This window comes from Homo sapiens, chromosome 2 (genome assembly GCF_000001405.40).
Source record: "Homo sapiens chromosome 2, GRCh38.p14 Primary Assembly".
NCBI lineage: Eukaryota > Metazoa > Chordata > Mammalia > Primates > Hominidae > Homo > Homo sapiens.
The window spans coordinates 143,676,276-143,702,916 of NC_000002.12; the positions used below are offsets into that span (position 1 = coordinate 143,676,276).

Genomic DNA, 26,641 nt, shown 5'->3' on the forward strand with positions numbered 1-26,641 from the left:
CAAGAAGTCTGTTTTGCTTTCTTATCATTCATGTGTTCACTGGAGTAGCACTTTTAATTTCCTTCAAGAACTTTTCTCCTTTGCATTCACAACTTGGCTAATTCTTTGGCACAAGCAACCTAGCTTTTGGCCCATCTTGGCTTTCAATATGCCTTCCTCACTAAGCTCAATCCTGTTCTGCTTTTGATTTGATTTAAAGGAAAAGAGGCATGCACCTCTTTCTTTGACTTGAACCACTTAGAGGTCATTGTAGGTTTTTTCATTGGCCTAATTTTAATATTGCTATGCTGCAGGGAACAGGGAGGCCTGAGAAGAGAGAGAGACAAGAGAATGACCCATTAGTGGAGCAGTCAGAACACATGCATTTATTAAGTTTGCTATCTCATATGGGCGCAGTTTGTGGCATCCCAAAACAATTACAACAGTAACATCCAAGATCACTAAACACAGATCACTATAACAGATAAAATAATAATGAAAAAGTTTGAAATACTGCAAGAATTACCAAAATGTGACACAGAGACACAAAATGGGCACATACTACTGGGAAAAAGGTGCCAACAGACTTGCTCAACCAAAGTTGTCACAGACCTTCAATTTGAAAAACAAACAAACAAAAAAACCCTCAATATCTGCAAAATCTGCAAAGTGCAATAAAGCAAGGTATAGTCAAATGATGTGTGCCTATAATTAAATTGTATATTTAAGATTTGTGCATTTCAGTGTCTGATTACCACCTCAATTTTACTTCAAAAAAAGGAAGTGATTGAAAGACCATTTATGGTATGTTTCAGTTTGTGTTATTGTGTTTTGATCATACATGGTTCCAGTACTCATCCCATTCATTGTGAATCTTCATGGTTCCAGTAATTCTAATATTGACCCAGAGTGCCAGTTAATTAGGCTTAAAGCAAAAGAGATGAAATAGGGAATTCAGACCTGATGAGCTTGCTCAGGGATTTATGTGTGGTGAACAGCAAGTGTTTTGGAATACATGGTTAGTGTATCTGTTAACTGAACCATGAATGGAACCATGGAATGTGTATTGTTTATCTTTTGACATTGGTGTAGGGAATAAAACAAGACTCCTTGGTTGTTGGAACCCTCACCCCTACTTGCATACGGCTTTTCTGGATTTTCCCAGAAAGATATATTTTTCTTCCTCAAGTACCCACAGAAATTTGTACCATTTTTCTGTGCCTTGCATTTTAATTATATCTGTGTCATATCACCCCTCCTAGTTGGTGTGGCTAAAAGGCTAAACTCTGCTCACTATCTCTGCCACCCATAGCACCTATAACATTCTTTAATTTAGATCAAGTACTTGTTGAAAGTTTTAAATATTTGATGGATTTGATTTGATTGGACTGGATGAAATAACCTTTGTATTTAATGGAACCACAGACCAGGAATTTGAGGAATTGAATTCATTTGTGCCTTCATATAATGAAGTTATTGAGTACTTATCACATGCAAGACACTGAGCTAAGAAATCTTAAAACTCAAAGATACATAATATGTAGTACCTGCATGCAAAATTCTACCAGTCTGATAGGGAAAAGACAATGTGTATAACTGATACACAATAAAAGGCAGAAAGTCATGTGAAAAAAGAGAGGAAGAGAGGCTTTCTTATGAAAATCCAAAAGAGGTCAGGTGCGGTAGCTCATGCCTGTAATCCCAGTACTTTGGGAGGCCAAGGCGGGCAGATCACTTGAGCCCAGGAGTCCAAGACCAGCCTGGGCCACATGGCAAAACCCTGTGTCTATTATACAAAAACATAAGAATTAGCCAGGCATGGTGGTGCATGACTGTAATCCAGCTACTTGGGAGGCTGAGATAGGAGAATCACCTGAGCCTGGGGGGATGGAGGCTGCAGTGAGCTGTGATCATGCCACTACATTCCAGCCTGGCTGACAGAGCAAGACCCCGTCTCCGAAAGAAAAAGGAAAGAAAGAGAGAAGAACCAAAAGAGGAAGAATATCTTTGCCTCTATTTACACTTTGAAACCCTTACTTTCTTTTAGACCAAGCTTAACTCCTATTTGGAGTATGCATCTTGAGAAAGCCAAAATAAATACTAGCAAGTAGTTTTTGAAATTTTCTTGTCAATAAAAAGTCAAGAAAAAACAAACATTCCTTAGAGGGGAATATTCAGTATTCCTTCTAGAATTATAAGTGAATGGGAAGTGATGCCAACAGTTCCAACCAAGTTTGTTCCTTTCTTCCTCACAACAGCGAGCATTAGCCTGTGAGAAGCCCTGGTTTCTAATTTCATCTCTGCCCAAAACTACATAGGTGTCCTGGTCAATTCACTTAATTCCTCTGCATCATAGTTTTTACATCCATAAAATTAGAGAAGAGAACAGAATGTTTTCCAAGGTCTACTCCAACTCTAAAAATGTCATGATTCTATATTCTGTGGCTCTGTGATCCTAATTACTTTTGATAAGATCATTTATGTGATTTTGGGGATTGGAAAGAGATTGTCAAGTTTCCCAAACTTCATTGATCCATATGCTAACTTCACTGATTGTATTTTCAGTAGTATCGATGTTAATTATTTTTCCTAAAAGCAAATGACTTTTATACTTAAATATATTTAGCTTTATCCTAAGCAATAATATCTATGAAAGCATACATTTTTTAGTGTTACTTATGGTTTTTTAAATATGCATTAAACTAAATAACCATTAAATTTGTCTCTTATGCCACCAATAACATATATGTATTCTACTTTAAGAAACACTGCTTTGCTGTAGTAAGTAGGAAAGTCTGATCCAATATCTTTGCTAGTTGATTAGAAAAGTCAATCATAAATGCTATCAGAATAGGTCAACCTATATGCACCAGTATCCACAAAGGCTAAAAAAAAAAAATATGCTGCACTCAACCAGAATCTTCAAAAATCCTGGGATTCGGCTCTTAAGTGGGTTTGTGCATTACCTGGAAAACAATTTGCAAAACAGATTTTTAAAGTTCAGAGTAAATTGGAGAAAGGGCTACATTACATTTGAACCTTAATAAATACTTAATAACCCATAAGACAAATAGCCATGAATTACTAGAATGATTTCAAGCACAGTGCTTCTGCAGAGTCAACCTGCTCTTATTTTTGCTCATTATAAAACAGGAGTTATAATATTGCAAAGTTTATTAGCTCTGTTGATTTGTGTGTTTTATAAAACAAGACATTTGAATAATATAGAACCAGAGCCATTAGGAAAATCTATTTCCTTTTTCTTCTCTATCTAGTCTCCTCTGCCCAAGATAGCTTGAAAATGTCTTTCTCGTAGAAACAGAAAAGCATGAAGATTCCTCCAACTCTGTCCTTTTTTATAGATGTTGTTTATTTCTTGAATGAGGGGGTGCGTGTGTGCGTGTGTGTGTGTGTGTGTGTGTGTGTGTGTATGTGTGTGTGTGCAAGCTTAGGTCCTCAGGTGGAACCGTGGTTCCTGTGCTTTCGTCCTCGAAGCTGTTTTTCTGGAAGGGAATGGAGGCAGCTGTGTTTACAGCTCAAGTCTTGGCATACATTTACCAGAATCTATTATTCATATCATTCAGTATCAGGGAGAGATCTCAGGCCACCTGTCTATCTGACAAATTCACCCTTTTGTGAGCTTTCTGTTCATAGCAAATTATGTTCACATTGATGAATTGAGTTTTTATGAGCATTGCTAACTAACATTCTCACAGAAGGCCAGGGGCAAGAGCCTGCAAGTGTTTCTGGTCCATAAGTAAATGATTAAAAAAAAAAAAAAAAAAAAAAAAAAAAAAGGAAAAAAATGGTAGTGTTTAAAGACAATTTGCCATGGAGGAATAGTTAAATCATTTGGCAATGCCTTAATATTTATAATTCCAAGACTTTCCATAAATTATTGCAAATACTCAGCTTATAACAAACAAAAACATGGAAAAAATCCACACAATATTTTTCTCTGTAGCACAGAATATTATTGAAAAATTGTTCTGCATTTTGACAGGTAACCATTGACCAGGGCAAAACATGGGGTAGTTGAAGAATGCCCAGCATTAATAAATCTAGCAATTTTATACAATAATGTGGAAAACTTGCAGCAATTGTAGCTTAAATTCCAGCTTGGTATTTCCATAGATACAAAATGGATTTCCTTTTAATCTCTAGTAACCCTATACTGGTTATGGAGCTAAGCCATGTGGCTTGAGTTAAATAAATGAGAGCAATCTTTCACAAAAGGCTAACAGAAATCCTTCTAAATGGTGGGTGGGGAGATACCCAGTGTTCATGACAGAAATAAAAATTTTCTTTGGTTTACATGTAGAATTGGTTCTTCTCTTGGGCCTCCATGGCCCTTGCATTTACCCTGACTCTTAGTCTGCATTTCATTTAAAACAGCTGAAAAAGAGAAGGTGGTTTCACCAGAGAGACACGTTCTAGTTTTCCTGTACCCACATTTCAAAGCGCTAATTCCAAATCTCCTTAAAATGATAAGCCTGCATAGGTGGCAGAGCCACTAGTCAGTATATATTTACATAAAAAGCAACAAAACAGAAATTTTACAGGGCAGTGAGTAATATTATCAATAAAAATCCATGACTTCTCAGTTCACTCAAGAACTGTGATCCTATCCTCCCAAAAGACAGATTACTACCTTTGATAAGGGACAATCCTATTCTCTGAAATCTTAGTGAAAGTCAGTAGAAAATTCTAAATCTCTTCATAGTAGCCTGCCAAAATGTGTCAGACACATCACCTTTCAGTGCAAAGACACCATAGCACAAAGAACACTTGGCATTATCCCTTGAAAATGCACACCTTTCGAAGGAGCAAATGGGAAGTGTAGTCTGTTAAACACCATATGTGATGGAGCTGCACCAGTCTCATTTCCCCTTCCAAACGCTACAAGCTGCTACCTCATTGTGGTGTGTGTGACTCTAGGGGGAAATCAGTGACAGCTGAGTGTCTACCTGGTCCCAATGTCAGTTGGCTTGTTGACCACTTAAGTATGCAGTTCAATGTGATACTATGCTTTAGTGACCTCTGAGAAATAGAATCCCTGGGCCTTTATGTTAATTTAGTAGCGTATGTGAAACTTTTGCAAACTTTCCAGTAGCTGCCCTTGCCTTCAGATTTGTGGGTAAAATGAGGAGACTGGATTTGCAGTCCTTAAAGTATGGAAAGATGCAGACGGGCAAATTTCTTTGAAAATTTGTCTTGACATTTCCTTCCAGTCCTAAAACTACTATGGATAAATGCTTCTGTTTTATTAAAAATAAATTTGTGGAGAGTCATGGCCATAAAAGTCTTCATCACAGGTTTGATCGGAATTTTCTGTGGTAAGCATAGCGACCATTCATCCAGATTCTCTATAAATAGTTCAGTTTCCATATAGTTCTTCCTTTTATCCAACCGTATGTTCCTATTTTTGTTCAGACAATATGGTCAATGAGGCTTTAAGGCAACAGGACCAATTTACCTGCAAGAATTTTTCACTCTAAGATTACAGAAATTAACACAGGAGATAGAAATCGAGGTGTTTTGTCTCTAAGCAAGCAATTTGAGATAAAGAATGCATTCTTTGGTGCCAGAGGCATGGCAAGCAGCACTCTGCAGCTTGGTGCCCTATTCATAGTGTCAAGCAGCTACAGGACCACCATTTTGCTCCTTGAAACTGCTACAGCATTTTAAGTAATGCTAGAAGGCTAAAAGTTGACTGCAGCTAGTAGAGCATTGTTCTTTTTTTAACCCATGTGATAGGTATCTTCAGCAGTGTCAAACAAATTTGTAGAGCTGGTGATTAGTTGCCCAAAGAGCATAATGTATGCATTATTAATTAAAGAAGGTAAGTTTGGCTAATTGTCATTTCTATACAGTAGCAGTGCACTAAGATACATTTTAACAATCTATAAATAATTGATAATTTTTTTTCTTTCATCTTCCTTCCTAGTTTGCATAAAACTAATGACTTGGTAAATGTTACTCTCTTCAAAATATTCCACCGCTTCTATGAAAATTAAACTAACGCTGTAACCTTAGCAAATAAGGAGATTTTTTTTTTTCCTTTTATTGCAGGTTAAAAAAAGATAGGAATTATAACACTTAAAACAAAAATGTGATTCTGTGGAAAGCCAAATGAGAATCATAAATAATATAAAATCAGCAATGAATGTGACTTTAAGAAATAGAATTGACTTTAAAAATGTGAAAATGCAAAAACATGATTACATATATACATATATACACATATGTATGTGTGTGCATGTGTATACACACACATGCACAGATATATATATATGTACACGCACACACACATTCCAGCAGCCCCAAAGTCTTGCTTGTTCAGCTTTCAAAAGCCTAAAACTACAACCAAAAGCTTTGCTCCAGGATATCTTCCAAGTCTGGTGCTGGTGTTTCAGTACTTACCAATAGCTACATGAATAATCCTTCAATCTCATTAGCAGAGGACACAAAATTTTTCTCAGCTGAAGTATTTGAGTTTACTTCCTATATACTTTGCTAATTTGATCATAGCACCTAGATGGATCCTTATGAGAAGAGATTTACTGCAGCAAACCTACCCACTTCTCCTTTTTCGCAGGAGTTCTCTGTTATTCTTACGAATCCACAATCTGCCAGTCTGGTGTAATAGCACAAGAGCTTGCTTACTCTCTAATTTTCAGTGCAACTGAATACATTCCCGGAGTTATTGATGGCACTGTAATTTTACGTTTATTTTGTTTGGAATACATTGTGGTTAAAAAAAGATTTCTTTAAGAAGACCCACAAACTAAAGTATTGCCTAAGTGACATATTGTTATTTAAGCCTTCGTCGAGTCTTACATATGCTTCATTATGATAAAAAACAGGTTGTAAGGACTGATTCTGTGACCTTTTTTTCTCATTTTAACCCTACTGATATGTCACCCATGGCAACCTTAAACTGATTTTAATAGAGTCGATCCTATTATTCATTTAAATTGAGGTGCAAGAGCACTTAGACCAGGGAAATTTGCATTCAGCAAATGGGGATTTGATGAGCAAAAATGATAAGATATATGTTGTATAACATGGCCTATTTTGCTAGCAAATAAACAGCTCTTGAAATTGATAAACTTCAGAATATTTTATCCTCAAATGTTTATACATAAATGATTAAAATGCATTAGCAATTCTGCTTTTGAAAAAAAAACATATTGGGAAAACAACACAGTTGTGTTGCTTAAATTTGTAATTAACAAATTTATTACTAATTCTGTTCAGTTCTTTAATATGCTGCATTCCTGAAGAAGAACATTAATACACAATGGCAGAAAGAAGCTAATTTTAAGACTTTGGAGAAATGAATGTCTTTTAATGCTGTGTGTTTCTCTTATCTACATGCCACATTATTGTAATAAGTACATTCAGGAATAATTTCTTTTCAAATATTTTTACAAATCTTGCTCTTATTTGCATGCAAGTAAGTTGTCAGCTTAAATCTTTGAAATGCAAAATATATCTCATTTCTATATTTCATCAAGGAGCCTTTCATGTTTAATAAATTACAACTTAGATCCTCCAAGACTTTGTTTTTCATTAACTAAAAGCAAAAGGATACATTTAAAATCTTAATCACAACCTGCAAGGGTATTTGCATGTTGCTGATATTTGTCTTGATGGGACTTTTAATATTTGCAAACTAATCAGGATAGCAAGGTTATACCAATAATTTCTGAAGACAAAAAACTTTCTGCATTATTTTATTATATTGAAGAAGAAAACTTAAAAAAAAATTCCAGTGTCTTAGCCTCAATAATCTGTACACTTTTTTGCACACATTTATCTCCTAAAGATTTTAATTGGACAAATGGCCACATCTCAGAAGCACTATTGAAAAATGTGTACAAGAATGTCACATCTGGGTTCAGTCTAGTCTTTTATTAGTGCTTGATCAGCATGTATTGGACAGAATCGTTAACACAAAACAAGCAAGGTAAATCATCCACTACACACTACCACCCTGATAACCACCTTGTGCCACTGAATAAAAATGTGGATCCAGGAGAAATCAAAGGACATCCTTCACTCATTTGATTTGATTCCAGTTTAGACAGGGGGTTAAGGGTGTTTCTGCTTTTTTGGGGTTTTAGTGGTTCTTTTTAGTTTAACCAAATACCCTAGCTGATCTTGCAGAAAGTCTTCTGGACTCTGAAATAGGATGGATCATCTCATCTCAGCAAAAACAAAAAAAAAAATCTTGACAGCATAATATCCTTATTGGGGGGTCCCATGGGCCACAGCAATACAATGTCACAGAAGAGGCAAACTTCTGCTGAACTTGCTGCCCAGAGACCTTCAGTTAATCTTTCTCTCTAGAATGGAAGATCAAAAAACCCCGAGCAGCTTAAAAAATATGCAGCTAATGTCATGTAGTTAAACTGATGTAGCATGCATGTTGTTTTGCAAGCTAACCGGTTAAATATGGCTTTGCTTTAAGATTCCCATCAAATTTCGTTTTTATAGAGAAATCTCTGAAAGCAGTAGGGGTTGAGGGAAGGTGAGGTAAAAAGAAATAAATCATTGTAGTCTCAGGAACAGTAATCCTTGTTGAGGATTTTGGCTGATTGATATAAATAACATCGTCCCCGCCATCTGTCCGAAGAGAGACCTTTCCAGTCAGTGTTAAGCTGCAACGGCAGAATAATTAATGAATGGTGTCCTTTGTGCTGGTAATAAAGACAAGACAAATTATGTTATAATCCAACTGCTGCTCATTTGTCACAGCCAAATAAAATGTCAAATAAAAGTGAGGGGGGCACTGTGTTTGTTTAATGGACTGCAAGCTACCTGTTTCTGTTGTTGACAGACAACTAGAATGTAAGTTTTGAATGTTGCAGGAAAGCAAACCTCCACACCGAAGTCGCATTTGCTCGGGAGAGGGGGGTGGGCTTGTAGGGTGACCATGGGGGAGGCCTAACACATCAACATTGAAGTAAGTTTTAATTAGAGAGCTATAATACCACCGGCTCCTCTGAGTAAGTTGGTTGTGATTACAGTGCAGAAGCACTGCCTGGAAAGTCCAAGTTCAAAACACAGTCGAGCTATTTGCAAATCTGTAAGAATTTGGTAGGGCTCTCATCTTGCATTTTCAGGATAGACACATTCATCCAGTTGCTAGGAAAGCCAAATAATGAAAACATAGCTGGGATTTAGCAAGTTCCATTGGGAATTACCTATGATAGAGGGCAGGGCTGCACTTCCTCAGAACATGCTCCTGCTGTAAAAATTCACAAACCTGGCATTCATACAGGCATCTGTCGCTTGCTCTAATGCCAGTTCATAGTATACATACAAACATCTGCTTCCGTGCACAAAGGGATACAGAGCGCTTGACAGGTCTGTGTTAGCAGGGTTCGCAATGCCAGTTCTTTATGCAAAAACCCTAATGCTTCCCGTCAAGCCATTAGAAGTGATACAATCAGCCCAGGCCCCATTAAGCCATCAGTGTCCACCTGTGATAAAGATGGCCATTTGTTTTCTTAAAGCCCACTTAATGTCTGCTTAACTCAATTTGTCAGGAAATGTAGAACAATTTCCTCACAGCCTGAAATTTGGTAGTGGTTCAAAGTCAAAAGGCCAGGTCTAGTCCTATTCAAATGATATAATAAACAGTCTTCAAATCGAAATCTCTCTTGAGAAGCTGATGTTTACTTTAAAAAAAAAATTATGTTAGCTGGAAAAGAATAACATTTGTGTCCAGTATTATTATTTTTTATTTCTAAAGTCCTGGAATATGTCTACCAGTGAAAAGGTCCATTGCTTGATTGTATGAGAAAATAATTTTATTCTCTTTACAAATTCAGCCAGAAATTGGATGTAGAAAAATGAAAGAGGGCCTGGCGCGGTAGCTCACGCCTGTAATCCCAGCATTTTGGGAGGCCGAGGCAGGCAGATCACGAGGTCAGGAGTTTGAGACCAGCCTGACCAACATGGTGAAACCCCTCTCTACTAAAAATACAAAAATTAGCTGGGTGGAGGCTATTCAGGAGGCTGAGGTGGAGAATCGCTTGAACCCTGGAGGTGGAGGTTGCAGGGAACCAAGATTGCACCACTGCACTCCACCCTGGGTGACAGAGCGAGACTCTGTCTCAAAAAAAAAAAAAAAAAAAAAAAAAAAAAAAAAGCCCTTGCAAAGCACTACTCTCAATATAGCAATCACTCCCAACCCCTAAGGAATCCCACTGTAATATGCACACATTTACTTTTTAGTCTAATTCTATTTAAAATATTTCCCACCTTGCTTACATTTGTTGGAGATTAGTATTGTCTTTTTATATCCCTTAAAAGTGAAAATTAAATGACTGTTTTTGAACATATTTTATTGTGAAAATGGTATAAATGCCATATAGAGGCTTACTTTGCCCCCATCTCAAATCACTTTTAATCACAGGGCCAATTTCCTGTGCTTAAATGTGTCTGGTCAGAAAGGAATCCGAAGACACTTCTAAGATTAACCAACAGGGGGCTCTCTTAAATATTCCAGATACACTGACGTCCTACTGTTTCAAATTAGTGGTCCATACAAATCTAACACCAATTTTGACTTAAAACTGAGCCAAAAACCTTAATTCTTGTTTGTCCAACAACTTCTGCATTCAAAATATTTAACTTCTGGTTCCTTGTGTTCCCGTGGACTAGAACTGGGAGCTATCAATGTTAATTCTAAAGAATATTTTCTCAGCTCATTTTGCACATAAGGTACACTGAAGAATTGAGTCAACTGTCTGGACTAGTTGATCGACAGATATTAAATGGGCATCTAATACTTGTAGAACAATTGAGGCAAAATTAAAGTTTAGGGATATGAATCAGCTGGGTAACTATCTTATTTCTCTACTTTTCTCTGCAAGTAGAGAAAACTTTAACGGACCTATTTTTCTTAAAGAAAAGAGGGATTGATATGGCTTAAAGGCTCAGGTATGAGAAAAAATGTGTGTTTCAATACAAATATTTTGAAATGAACAGCTGACTATTTTCTTACTTAGAAATGTTACTGTGACTTCTCATCCATGAACTAGTGTTATGTGTATAGGTTTTATTTTCCACTCTTTGGAGGCTCAGTCCAATAAGCAATACAATTCCCTAAGAAAGGATTTGATTGAGGAAGAGCCAGAAATTAGAATATGAAACTAGAATATATTTACATACATGGCACTGCAGGGTCCTTAGTCCTCCTTCAGACTGCAAATATATAGTCTAAAGGCATTTTATATCTTCTGTACTCTCTCTGCAAGTGCCCCTACGCCCAATAACTTCACCCAGGAGAAGATAGTGGCAAACTCAGACTTTGCTTTCTTGATTCTAGAATATATTCACTAAATAAAAGGTTAACTGCAACAGAAATACCTAGAGGAAAGTCTAGCACACAATTTTCCCTGAAGTGATTTGATCTGTGCAAATAGTTTATCTTTCTTTTGGCATAGACCAAACTAAACGTTATCATTTTACCAACACAGAGAATTACTTTTATTATCAAAATAACACAAACTCATTATTGAAAATGTGGAAAATAAATTTTAAAAATGAAAAAAGAATCCATACTCCTATTATTTAAGCATAACTTATCAGTTAATATTTTGGTATATTCCTACCAGTCTTTTTAATTAACTGCTTAGCAAAATTATATGGTATCTAAACAATTGTACAAAATTATTTTTAAATTGCTTCTTTTTACAGATTAAAAAATAATAAATATTTATTGAAGTTAACTTGAAATTTACAGAAAAGTGAAAAGAAAAATTACTCTAACAATAACCATGTTTTGGGGCTATTTCCTTTGACATGTTCATTCTGCATTTGTTTTATCCTAGCCTGCTTAATTTTAAAACATGTGTAACATAGGAAAATTCATATGTAATACCTAATTGCTTGATTTTCTAGTTTTTATCACTTTAATAGCCCTCCACTCAGTTTTTTCAATACCATTATTATAGATACAAAGCAGGTTTACCAAGTATTCCTACGAAGAGAAGTAAACATTATGCCACTCTCTGCAGCTTTGATATTTTTGAAAGGAATAAAAAACTTGTTTAGTATCTCTCCAGAGCAATGTTCCAATGTTGTTTTCTAGCAAACTCCAGAATGAACAGCACCAGTCATTGTTTTAAATAATCATCAAATGCCCCCAGAGCTTTCACCTGAACCATCAAGGGTGGACCACAAGAAAGGCATTTCCTGTCACCAAGAGCTAAGTGGAAGCCAGAGAGAAGTAATCCAAGGAGGCCTTTGGAGTTTTAGATCCAAATTAAGTAAAGAAGATGCTTAGTTTTGTTTACAGTGTCTCTATTCTTGAGTTGTAAATTTTGATTCATCACTTAGTAGAATTACATAAGCCTTCACGTAAACTTTTCAAGAAAGCTGTCCTATTATAAATCTTTGCATACATGAGAATGTCTTTGTTATTTTAACATGCAAAAGACAATTTTGAGTATGCACACAATTTGAGGGCCACAATTTCTTTCCTATAAATTCAAAAGATACTGCCTTGTTTTCTTTTAGGATTTAGTGAGAAAAGTGTTAGGAAAGACTAAATGTTTATTTTTTTAGTCTTCTTTTTCTCTGAATATTTGTAGAATGATGCTCTATCCTTGCCATTTGAAAGTTTTGCCAGAATATATCAAGATAGTATACCACCTCGATAATATTTTCTTAGAACCTCACTGTCATTTTCAATATTGAGGTAGTTTTTTAACTCACAGGAGTTTTCTTAATTTTGTGCTTGACTTGCATATTTTTCAAATGTTCTGGTTTCTTCCTCAAGTATACTTATAAGCTGTAGATAATCTCTTCATTCTTTGACTTCCAACATGTCTTCTTTCTCATCATTTTTTATGTCTCCATATTCTGGGAAAACTTCTCTGGTTTGTCATCCGTATCACAAACCTAATTTTTCTGGAGTAACAATTTGAACTTCAGTGCAAAATTTAATTTTGTTTTGCATTTTTAGTTTTCACACTGTCCTTCCTCAAATCATCTATATAATTGTCATCTTATTCTAGTGATCTTTTCATCTTCCCTGTCCTCTCCTATGGCTTGCTGATCCTTCTCATTCCACTCCCTGTGTCAAATTTTATTAGAGATACTAAGTAGCTTCTTAATTGTCTAGCAGTTACTGTAAGAGTTCTAAGCTTTTTATGAGCATTGTTCTCTGAGTTCTTTCATAGGTCAAACGTTGTTGGAAATTTTGTTATGTTTACTCATCTCAAAATGTAGAAATGTATGCAACATTCTATGCACACTGATTTTTACCCTCTGCTTCAGCTCCAGCCTTAGCATTTTGTCTTGAAGCTATACTCAAATGGCAAATTTATAATCACAGCTCTTACATTAATTCTTATCTAGCATACTTGTTCTCTTAAGGCACTAGTATCCTGACATCGAATTTTCTCCCACCCTAATTCCTTGACTCTGTGGCACTCTAAAAGATAAAGTGCATAAAGCATTAGAATTCCAAGAATTTCTTCCTAAAGAATTTTGCCAGTCTCCACCCTTTCTTCCCTTTATGTTTTACATATGGGACTACACAATTCCTATGGGGATATGTGCCATTATCAGGACTTTCCTTCTGCCTTCTACCTACAATATCCTCAGTTATACTTCATGGAAATTGCTATCTTTAAATGATCCCAGTATGAAGAGAAGTCTTGATGTGTAGCTTAGAAAGGAAGGCGACTGGTGAGAAGGGGCAGAAGGGAAGCATTCACACTACTTCTAAACAGCATTAACTGTGTAGGAAAAAGCTGCCCAGTTTTTTGGTTGGCATAGGCCTGGAGGCTTTGATTCTAAAAATCAGACACTTGAAGAAATATAAGGATGCTTCTATCTGCTTTCAGGAAGGCAGACTCTCTGGTTCAGTACTTCAATAGCTCATGCACCACTGGCACTTTCCAATTAAGACCAACATGTCTTCGAGTAAGTTATTCTTAAATTTTTGTCACTATGTTACTCTCAGTCCCTGTTTAAATTATTATAAGAATTCTATTATGTTTTCTTTGCTTTGAAGCAAATTTAGTGACAAGTTTCAAGAGGTGGTTAGGTGTTGCCAACCAGATGCCATTTAAAACCAAAAGTCATGATTTGCATCAGCTCTTTGCAGAGGGCATCACACTGAAAGTTTGCAATCAAATTCTTCCTTGGGGTGTGACCTCTGCCTATGGCTACTTCTTTACAGTTGCTGTTGCGTCTTTACCTGGAAATGATAACGGGCCCCAGAGGGGAATGTTTATTTTTAGTCCTGCCATTTACAAGGGCCTTTGAGCTTCTAAGAAGATGCTTAGAGTTACAAAATGTAAATCAATCATTTCATTGTAATGATAGATTTCAGAGTATTATTTTTTCCATTTGGGGAAATTTTTTTTCACTATCTAAACCACACCTTGGTTCTTTATAAAAAGAATTTTGGATTTTACATCATAGAAAAAAAAGTTTCTCTTGGCTTGACTTGCTGGTAAGGAGGTGTGCGAATGGTCTCAAGTTATACATTTGCAGAGAAAATACCATCCAGATGCTCAAGTCAGCCTTTTTTTTGGCAGACAGCTAAAAACCATACCAAAACTGAGTCTCAAGTCTTTAACAAAAGAATTCCAAAAGCTCTTACCTTTGGAACGGACATTAATTAAAAGAAGCAGTCATATCCCCCGTGATCAGAGTTTAACTGCTATTAATCAGAGTTCATCACACAATTAACACTTTGAACTGATTAGCAAATGAAATTATAGCAAGAAATGTTGAGGTTAGGACAGCGGACGGACGTACTCTCTTGCCCAACTCACAGTCCCTCATCTTTTAAAAGAAGGGAAAAAAAATGAAGCACTCTGGTCATAACGAATTGTGCAGATTTTGTTTTCAGTGAGGTGTTTGCCATTACATATTGCACATAATGTATGGCACTGTTAGGAGGAAAAAATTGGAGTCAAAGTGGCTGGAAAGTTAGGTCTGCTCTGTAGCACTGTGAGATTGTTGACATCTGCCGAGGTTGGAGCGCTCAGTAAGCAGGAAATGGGGTGTCACTCTGAGTGGTAGTTTACCATTATCCTGGCATCCTAATGAAGTGTCTGCAGTGCACAGAGCTTCTGGATGGCATCTTAACGCACGGCTAAGCAAAAGCACTTCTCTCCCTGTCACTGTCATCCATCTGCCTGCACCCTACTGTAGCCAATGGGATGGAACCATGCTACAATGTGCTATAAGCCATTTAGAGTTGCACATTGCATAATCAGTCCCATCAAATATGTAAAAAATGGCTATTATTGGTTATTCTCCTCAAACTGGCACCTGGAGTTTGATACATGAAAGTTCAACTTTTTCAAGTACTGTTTCTGCTATTAATTCCACTCCCCCCAACACATTATCTAAATGGGAATGAGTTGCATCTTCATTGTCTTAAGGCTTATTAATGGATTGAAAGTGTTGTATGAATATTCATTAATAATTTCACTGTACATCACACTTGGAGAATTCATCAATTTACAATATAATGGAATGGTCATTTTCTTTGTGATAACCATTTTTAAGAAAAGGACAACTCCCATTGCAGATTGGCTGTTTTCATCTTAGTTGGCAGGGAGAGTTTGAGGTCGTTCAATAGGTTTTCTTTTTAAAGACATAGAGCACTTCACCAAGTACATTTGAATTTTAAGCTATTATTGCCAATGCCAGATGATGGAATTTGGTGTTTTAATATTACCTCCGATGAAATTAAAATGCAGTGCAAAAGAGGATATCTGTTGTTAGGTGACAGAAGTAGAGCAGGGTGTGTGTGTAATCCTCCCGAAACTTCTGGATAGGTTTTGCAAGCAAGGCTGCAAAGCAGCTAGACTCTCATGGTAAGAATTGAAGTAGTAAGATGGTCACAAAGTTGAGGAGGAGCTTTCTGTAATAGGCAGGGGCAACAATAATCTGCTAAATTGGGGCAGGGGGGCAGGGAGGGTAGGGTTAGATAAATAAAAGGGCATAACATAATTTGGTTGCATCAGGAATTTTTTCACAGACATTAAAACTATGGTAAACATAACAGCGGGGAAGCTTGCACTGCCGCACAGTGGGAAGCTTAAAGCGTCTGCCTGCACTGTGCCTGGCTCAACTACAGCTAGAAGTCTCCGACTTTCATTAGCACTCAACAATTCACCCAGTTCCCCAGAAAAGGAGGAAACCCAAGGCAGCAAAGCCCCTCGCTAATTATTGTAAATGCTCCCAGGTTACAGTATTTGGGTGACAATAATGGCAAGAGGGTGTGAAACTAGAACCAAAGAGTCATTCTGAAATGAAAAAGAATGAAGGAGTTGTTTGTTGCTTGTTATTTTTATTTGTTTTAAACCAGTGTAGCCCTTCGTTTGATGGGTAAAGCAGTATGTTGGAATATTAGGCCACCATTTTACAATGAAATTTTAGAAGACTGCACCAAATTGTGTGCAACTTCTTTTGAGCAACGGAAGTACAGGTTAATTTCACAAATGACCTCCTCCCCTTGGCCTCCAAATTTATGTGAGTATATTTCACAAGTCTCTGCAACAGAAACTGTTTCCTTTGAAGGAAATTTGTAATAATACAAAAAATTACATGGAACCAAATGTTGCAAGGTAGGCAGACTAACACACATCACTGCAAGATACTGCACCTCAGGTTAAAGTTGATATTTTTTTCCCCTTCAAGAATGGAGTCATTTGAGAAAAATATTGGACTTCTTCAAAGGAAGAGGGGTCTACTTTGGATGCCTGTAAGCATTTAAAGTGATAGTTTTTTTTTAATGGAATGATAGGTGTTTATTCTTGCTAAATCCAGACTCGGGAATCTGGTTTCTTCATTCATATCCCCCCAGCTGCTGTCAGCAATGCAGCACACCAGCGTTCCTTCATGTGCGAATATTTCTCCAGCACTCATTTGCAAGAGAGTCGAAGCAATATTAAACACCACATCTAAACCTCTTTTAAACACACAAAGCAATGGGAAAACACATCAGAACTAGACCATTGAGAAAATCCTCCTTTCAAATTTACTGTTTGCTTCACATGCTAGTATAAAATATCCCACAAAGTCCCGTTTGTGATCCATTTGAAACAATCTTGATTTGCTTAAATTGTCACATTCTTCTTGCACATTTCTTTCTAAATGCAAAAATGGCAAAGAATTCTACTCCCTCTTCATTATAAAAGTACAGAATTTCTGGCTTGTTTATTCCTAATGGAACACTTGAGAAAGAAGAAAATATATAAATATCTTTTTCAGAAGATTAGTTGTCTCAATCTTTTTAAAAGGGAGGATTTGTTCATTTTTTCTCCATGGTAAACAACTTGGGCTTTGCACTGTAATTTTCCATTGTCAAATTAATGCATTTCATTTTACTGACTTGAACTCATGGTTTTAAAACATCAGACCTTTTAATATCTTTATTTCTTCCATACTACGTATTAATGTATGTCATTAGGACGTTGATAGTTAGGGATAGAATCCAAGCATCTTATAAAAGAAATTTGTTGGAGGAATCTTCTACTCCATTATAACTTACTAACAGTCTGAAAGAACTCACTAGCAAAATAAAACTGGTTTACTTCTTATAAGAACATATTTCCAAGCTAAGGATTTCAGGCTTGGAATGAGCTGTTTTGAGTATTTCAAATCAAGCATAAGAAATTTTGTCTGATCTACTGGTAAATATTCTATTGACAAGGTCAAGAACAGAGAAAGTCTGGACACCATGTCAGAAGAGAGAATAATTATTTTTTTTAAGTAGACAGTCTTTCAACTTCAATTTCTAAAGTACTGCGCAGGCTTTATACAGAATGTGCAGGAAAGTTTCTTAACTATAATGAAAGAATGTTCATATTTACATCTGCCATATATGTGGTACTTCAAAAATTAAAGGCGTGAATTTAAAAATGGCTAATATTTTCAAGAAACTATAAAAAGAAAGGGGTGGGGGAGAAGAATACAAGCTGTGGCAAAAATCTAGGCTCAGCAGCTTTCTGGGGGAAATGGTGAAATGTGACTATGTGATTTATAATGAGAAAAGGTATCTACAACATACAATTTTCTACCTAGCTGCAAATAATAATTCATAGTGATGTCCCTTCCAGATAAAAGACCTTTGCTATGTAGGACCCATGTGGTAAAATGATCATGATAAATGTCAGACCAGTGCAGGTAACGGCTTTACAAACCATTAAGATTAGCTGGCAGTTTTTTTTCCGATGATAACAGTAACCATGCTGTGACTCTATGTGGTAATAATATCTCAGTCCTGATAAATGCCAGAGCCAGGCAGAGGTGTTTATCACTCCCAGTTCAGAAATGCTGACTAAAGTTGCCACATGTTGCCTGTTTTTCTTCTTTTACAATAGTCTCACAATTTAAAAAGCTGAATCATAAAATTATTTTATAACCTATTTTTAAAGGATTTTGATGTTTGTTTAATTAATAACTCTCTCTGCTCTCAGCGTCACTATGTGACCATGTCAGATGAACTAGCTGGACAGTTTACTATACTAACCATTATCTCCTCTTCAGAGGTCTTTTGTTCAAAATGAATGGTTAAGGATAAAGTTTAATATGCCTTCTTCAAAAACAATATTTTTAACCCAAAGACAGGAAAAGTGTTTCTTAATTCACATTTTTCTTAATTGTGATATAGATCCTAGTTGTTTTCAAGTGAGTTTTCTAATCCCTTATAAATTTAATTGGTCTACCAATGGAAAGACACACATTGAAAACCTCAAACCTTGAAAAGTATTTGTAGGATTTCCACCCTTATGAAAATGTACAAAGATAATGCTTAATGTAAATAGCTAGTTGAGTATTTGAATTACTGGCTTATGATGAAAAAGATTTCAAATGACTCAAAATAGTAAAGACTTTTTTTAATTAAAAAAAAGGTTGTAAAACCAGATATAAATGAATAAATATAGTTTCAAGAAAATCTTCACAGGAAAATTGAATTAGAGAAATTCAGAGAAATAAACCCATGAGCTTTATTTTCTCAGCACAGACTATCGCCTAAGGATGAATTAGTATCTTTGTAGGTTACAGAAATGTACTTGGCCACCATGACACCTCCAAAATTACTTTGAAGAGCAAGAAATTCTAGGAAGGACAATAGGATCATGCTTTTCCTGTGAAGATTGCTGCTGGAGTGTCAGCCACTGCCTTACGCTCCAATTCAGACAAATAGAGGCATCACTACAAAACTGAGGAGTGCAAGTTTGGTTTAAGAACTGGTTTCAGATTGGTTAGTCTGAGGAAATGTTATCATCCTAAAATTGATTGGACCAAAGCAATATCCCCTTTATTAAAAGTTACTTAAGCAGGATATGGTGGCTCATGTCTGTATCCCAACACTTTGGAAGGCTGAGGCGGGTGGATCGCTTGAGCCCAGGGGTTCAAGATCAGACTGGGCAACACGGTGAAACCCCACCTCTACAAAAAATACAAAAACTAGCCAGACATGGCAGTGAGTGCCTGTAGTCCCAGCTACTTGGGAGGCTGAGGTGGGAGAATTGCTTGAACCTGGGAGGCTGCAGTGAGCTGAGATCATGCCACTGCACTCCAGCCTGGGTGACAGGGACAGACCTTGTCTACCAAAAAAAAAAAAAAGTTACTTAAAGACTAAGACTTGAATACATTTTCCAAACTCGCCCCAATGTGAGATCATAGTGCATCATAACATAGATAGATACAGCCACATGAGAAAGAAAAGATATTATTACTTTCCTGAATGTATTTGTGAATGTATCAAGAAGTTAAGCATAATAATTTTGAAGACTTCCAGAAATTGATTAAATAGAATTTTACACTCGTTGATTTGTATCAATTACACATCTGAATTATTTTGGAATGAGTAACATCTCAGAAGCTTTTTGAGTTTCACAATTATCTTAGATGATCCCTTCAGTTAGAAGAAAGACATAAACTTCACTGACACCTACATAATGACATGCCTTATATTTAAACATCTATTATGACACCTTTTGTAATTTATCTGCCCCTCCAGATTGTAAAATGAAAAGATAGCAACCAACTTTGTATCTGCCACAGGTTGCACACAGGCCTGAATAAATAGGGTTTTCTTATTTATATATAAGATAGATATATAATATATATATAATTTCTTAAGAAATTATACCTTTATTTTTAATAATTTATGGCTAGAGAGCAGGGATAGAGGTAGAAGGAAACAGAGATTACCCTTTAGAAGATCATTCTTAACATCCCTCCTAAGAGCATGCTGTACATGGTCTAATTCCTTCGGGACCAGGACCAGAAATGGTTCTGGAAACAGTGCTAAAGGGGCCAGTGAGTTGAAGCTTCCCTCATTTAACAAATCCATAAACTTATGCCAATTAATTGGCCAGAGTAATTTTTGATACTGACAATTATTGACTATAAAGAGTTGTTCCCATTTTTTAAATTCTTCCTAAGAGGGCTTGTTTATTCAAAAAAACAGCCAAAACATGAATATCTCCTGGAAGGAGAAACTGTGAATACAAGGAAATCTGGTGTAGAAAAGAGGTGATCAGTTCCAACTCTCAGGTGATCCTCCCTAGAGAAAGAAATGTCTTATTTGAGTCAGATAGATTCAGTTCCTGCTTGGTCTTTCCTGCAAGTAATGTACCTCTCTTCTCAGGTTGAACTGTTTTGACACAGTTTGTCAACATCAAAAGCCAAACTTACAATGTATTTGACATTGCCTTCCTTTTAATTAAATATAAATATGGCTTTTCTGGGGTTTGGGGAGAAGGGCACAGAACCTTGAAAAATTGCAAATTGCCAACTACGGGCTACGCTCAAGGCGGTGGTTTTTCCTTGTTTATGATGCAATGACACTTCTATTTATGATATACTGTAACTACTTAGGAATTTTAACCAAATTCTCTGATAATTGACAGCATTCCATATATTTACAAAGCTACAACATACTGTACCCTGTTCCTACTTTTAGGAAAGCATACTAAATAGTAAAAGTATGACTTCATTTGATTTCAGAAACAACCTTGAACCAGGAGCAGTTATGTATCAGGGATGATAGAGAAGACAATGAGAAAGAAATATGTTTTAAGGGAAGAGGACTTACAGGGGACTTACTTAAATGATCACTTACTATGTGTACATTTATGTGCACTGAAATATTTAATTCTACGAAAATCCAATAAGATGTATAATTTTTCTGTATTTTCAAGTAAAGAACTAGAAGCATCAATAGTTCAAGCAACTTGCCCAAAATCATACAGCATAGCAAAAATTCTAACCCAGTCTTTTCCAGATTCCTGAGAAGTGGTATGTCACTGGATATACCGATTTTCTTATTTATAATGTGAGTTTGAAGCATGTGTATATTTGTATCTATTTGTGAGATTTGAATTTGCCCCCAGAGCATCTCCTCTTAAAGCAACTATGAGTTACTCAAAGATATTTATCAAGCAATTGTTGTCATCCCTGAGATGACTCCTCAATGGGCAACTCAAGTTTTGGCATTAAAAAGTGTATCCTCAGAGGTTTGTATCCAGTTGTAAGGCATGCTGAAACAAATAAAATGATCTCTGGAGATACTCCTTCCTCCTGTAAGCAAGCACAGTCTCTAACTAAATTCGGAAATGGCCACAGTACAAAAACTATAAATTGAATAGAAACTAGAGAACTGCTATTCTTCCAAATATAGCTCTGACATATAGGGACTACCATGTTTTTCATACAGGGTGCATTAGACATTTCAGAATAACTTTCAGAAGCAGAACAGCTGTGGTACCACTGACCTCTTTAAAACAAAGGAATACAGTTGTCCTTTAAGAACTGTAGACAAATGAGATGAATATTACTCCCTATACATTGATTACTGGGATAAACTGGTCTTTTCTTCCTCTGAGTGGACCTATATAACAAAGCAGAATTTATTTTTAAATGTGATTTAACATGAAGCTATAAGAACAATAAAGGCATGGATGATAAGGACAGAAAAGTGTCCAGGGACATTGGATCCAAGGTTCTTCACTGTACAGAACTTTTTCCATCATCATATACAGCTTTATCTTATCTCTTTTCTAAAAGGCATTGGGTTGTAAACGTGCTTTAGTAACAACATTTCATGCAGATGAATGCAAGTGTAACTATCATAAACCATATTTTGAAAAATGTGCCCTCAAAACTATAAAGCCACATTCTTATCATAACATTAAAGGCTATTTCACATCACGTAGGTGTTACTTCTCTGAACAGCATGGAATCATTTTTTAAACTTGTTTACAACAATGAGTTTGATGTAGTTTGAGAAGATGGGGGCAGGTTGGTGAGGAATGGGTATTAGTAAGAAACAGTTGAGAATCACTATTGGATGGAAAAAAACGAAGCACTATAAAAAGTTGTGTGTGCAATTGTGGGTTCACAGCTTAGAGATTGAAGAGGCTATTTGGATATGGGTGGAGAACTAAAATGGAGGTATTTCATGGAATAGAGGCAAAAATAAATCATAATAGAATAAGGGCAGGAGTAAATGCAAATGAAAGAGGGAAAGAATTATGGAGTTCATTACTTCTGGAAAGATTTTGTATAAGTCTCTTCACATACAGTTTGCCTAAGAGTACAAAAAGTTCCTTCCTCCTCCCACCAGTCATAATGTAAAAAGTTAGTGATATCTCAAAGTCTTCTCAGAACCTTCAGCGCTTCATAATGAGAAAAACATATGCTGAAGGAGAAATATTAATAGAAAATGCTGTCTTTCAGATGCTCACTGAATCAATTGAAGACAGTTGACACATCTTTAGTAAGCTGTTTATGAATCTTAGCTCATTAACCACTCCTGTATTATGTATGCTGATTCCAATTCCTAATATGACACATCAATAAACCAGATCTGAAAAGGTGTCATTTCGATTTTAATGTATCCAATTGTATTTTTAGATGTTTCTCCACTTGAAGTGTTTGTGTTATTTCCTGATTTTACAAGCTATGGAAGAGTGGGTGTGGTATTGATTTGAATGAAAAAAAACACTGCTTTACTATAACCTTTTCAGAAGATTTTGTTCTGATTATGTTGTAAGAAAAATAAATTGTTCCTCCTTAATATTTCAGCTCTCTCTAAGCCATGGTACACTTCCCCATTTAGCACTTAAGTATAACTTGGCCACAAATATGCATGCACCAATATCCAATTGTCTGATTCCCCAAGAATGTGTGAAAGTGGAAAAAGAGAGAAAAATATTTCTATAAAATATTCTTCATGTAGAATGTTTCTTATAGGCAAACTTGGAAACCGACATGTACTTTTCATAAGGATACTTATACATAACTGACCTGCTCACCAATCAGACCATCAATTTCTCAGCCTATCACAAAGTATTTAGGTTGTTGTGTAATGTTGGGCTACTATAGCAATTGTACTTTCACCAACTGGCACCAACTCAGTTCATGAATTAGCAACTACATTTTGAATGTCCCTGCAACCAAATAGTATGCTAACTGCTGGGATTAAAAGGTGAACAAGACCCAGTGGCTTGGGCCTCAAAAGAGGTGAGAGGGGTGCAGGGGAAGGTGAACATTTATATAGTACTTTGTTTTACTTGTAATTGTGCTTGGTACATTACATACTATCTTGTTTATTCAACAAAACTACACTTTTAGATCTTATTCAAAGAGAGTAAGAAACTTCTCCAAGACCACACGGCTAATAAAAAGCTGTTACAGAATTCAAACCAAGGTCCACATATTCCAGTTCATGGTCACAACTTTCATTAGTTCACTCACTAATTCCTTTTTCATTCATTTAACCCACCACATGCTAGCATAAAAATTGCCTAGCTTTAAAGGAAAATTCCCTATTTAATAGGGGAATTTGACAAGCATTCAAGCAGTACAAATACCATGTGAAGTGTTGTGTAAGTAGAATATTCTAAATGCAACAGAACTCAGGAGAGGGAGAGCTGACTCTAAGAAAGCTCACAATTATTTTACCTGTTGGCTTAACGGACTTGACTATGTCTTAATTCCTGCCCAAACACCATGAAAGTGTCCTTGCAAATCAGCTCTTTCTAATTAAGCAACGGCCAATCTTTTCTAACCCCACCCTGACTGGATCATGTTCCCTATAAGTAAAGTTTGCTGGTTGGAACCAACAAGACTACTCCCCACTTCTTGCCTGTAAAGCTTAATTTATAGCTGCTACTTCTGTAGCCCTCAATGTCAACTGGTCCCTTTTTTGGAGACTCTGGCATTAACCTGATTATTACTTTAGTCAGAGACTTCAGTGAAATTAGAAAGGTCTCTTCTCCTCCTCTCTCCTCTCCTCTCATCCCCTTCCCAGTTTCATACTGATTGCTTGCACCTAGTAGTTCACCAGATCCTCAGGTAAACTGTACTGGAATCATGCCAAACTGTACAGAATGTATCCACCTCTTGAATGAATATATATATATGAGTGTGTGTGTGTGTGTATACACACGCATATATACACACACAATTATGGTTGTGTGGTATTAGCTTCAAACGGTTGGATAGAAAGCATTCAAGCATCCCCAATAGCTCTGACCTGGGCATACTATGCCAATTTCACTCTCATCTTCATTAACTTGTACTTTTTTTCTGGTTTATGATATTTCATAGGCCCCAGTTGGTCTTGTGAAGCATCACATTTTCTTACCATCATTAAGCTCCAAGAGGGCTTTTTACTATTTGGCAGAAAAGATGAGGTCTGGTATAGGCTATGATGTTGCAACTTTCTTTTTTTTCTCTTTCTCGCTCCCCTTTGTTTCTTTTTTTTGCAGTTGTCCAAGCCATATTATGTTGGAACTCTTCTAAGAATAACTGCAATTTTGAAAGCTTTGACTGTGGGAGGCATTATTTATAGGCCTTTGTGGTTTTAGAAGGAAAAAGAAAAGCTTCCAAGCAGAGTTCTACTAGGAAGACTGCCCCCATCCCACTTTAGCCAAATACCATCTTCTGCAGGATATTTTCCTGTAATTCCTTATAAAAAAATTCTTTTGCGACAACATATTAAAGAACCTGCCAGTTTCTAAACTAACTCTTTCTTATCCTACTGTCATAAAGTTTATATATCTATTGAATTGGACTTTTGTAAGTACATCTTATTATTAAGAACTGTATTTGGCCTTAGTATCAGAGATCCATCCTCAAAGGCTTCAGTACACAGGGCTTATTTTCTTATGTCAAAGAAACCCAGTGGGCCAGGCGTGGTGGCTTATACCTGTAATGCCAGCACTTAAGGAGGCCAAGGCAGAATGATTGCTTGAGCCCTGGAGTTCAAGACCTGCTTGGGCATCATAAGGAGACCCTTTCTCTACAAAAAATAAAGTGAGCTGGGCATGGTGGCATGCACCCGTGGTCCTAGCTACTCAGGAGGCTGAGGCAGGAGGATAGCTTGAGCCCAGGAGTTGAGACTGCAGTAAGCCATGTTCACACCACTGCACTCCAGGCTGCACAGTAGAGCAAGATCCTGTCTCAAAAAATACAAAAGAAACCCAGAGGCAGACAGTGCAGGACTAGTATGACTGCTCCACAGATTCGAGAAAGCTCTTTCTACCTGTGTATTTCACTCCACAGAGCTTCAGTTCCCCAGATTAGCTCATAGTACAGCCACTCCATCTACATTCAAAGAAACAGAAAGGAGGAAAGGTACACAGGCTAAAAGCTAAATCAGCTCATACATGCTCTCCCAGAAGGCCTGACCAACCCTGTCACTTCAGTCTCATTGGCCAGACTTGGTCCCATGGCCACTCCAGCTCCAAGGCAGCTGGGTCTATTACCATCCTCTTAACAGTGGGATTGTCTTGCTAAGGAAGAAGAGAATGGTTATTGGGTGGATGTTTGCCTTACATATTAGTCTTTTTTATATCTTATTTTCCAGCTGTGGCCTGTTTAGAATCATCAAGAGCCCTGTGCTAGAAGTTAAAGTATAGAAAGGAAAGTGCATGAGGTGTTTAAGTTCAATAAATAATTATACCTCTAGATGATAAGGCCCTGGTTAAAACTGTGGAAAGATGAATTCCCTAGTGTACTAAGTAAATCAATTTTTACTTTTCCATCTATAAACAAAACAAAATGAGAGAAATCAATGTGGTATGCAGTTTTGAACAACTTCCTATTTTATAAAATGTTTATGACCAGGAAATATGCTATTTCAATTTTTTTTTCTGTTTTACCCTCTTATTTTAAAGCAAAAACAAAATGTGTAAGGGAAAAAGGATAACATGGAAATAATTTTTAAAACAATTTTCCCTTCTACAAAATCAAGCAACAATAGAATATTTGTAATCAAATCACACTATATGTCCTTGTTTAGTTTCCCATTGCTACTTAACACTCACACAAACTTAAAACACAAACTTATCCTCTTACAGTTATGGAGGGTGCAAGTCTGAAATCAGTTTCAGACTGAAACTGAAGAGGTTGGTAGGCCTGCGGTATCCCTAGAGGCTCTGTCTCCTTGCCTTTCCCAGCTTTTGGAGACTGTGGCAATTCCTTAGAAAGCAGCCCCTCATCGCATACCCTCTCTTTTCTGCTCCCGTTGTCACATGAGAACTCATATCACCTTTTCTGACTCTCATTCTCCTGTTTCTCCCTAATAAGGATCTTTGTGATTCCACTGGGCCCATTGAGATAATCCAGAAAAATCTCCCCATCTCAAAAT

The 26,641-nt window shown here is 36.5% G+C and overlaps 1 protein-coding gene and 1 long non-coding RNA gene across 13 annotated transcripts in view; one reads left to right on the plus strand and one right to left on the minus strand.

Moving 5' to 3' along the window:
* Positions 1-26,641, plus strand: part of ARHGAP15 (Rho GTPase activating protein 15) — a 638,934-nt gene that overhangs the window by 546,857 nt on the left and 65,436 nt on the right. The gene's annotated exons all lie outside the window — the stretch shown is intronic.
* ARHGAP15-AS1 (ARHGAP15 antisense RNA 1) overlaps positions 1-26,641 on the minus strand; it is a 135,343-nt gene that overhangs the window by 35,520 nt on the left and 73,182 nt on the right. The window lies entirely within an intron of this gene.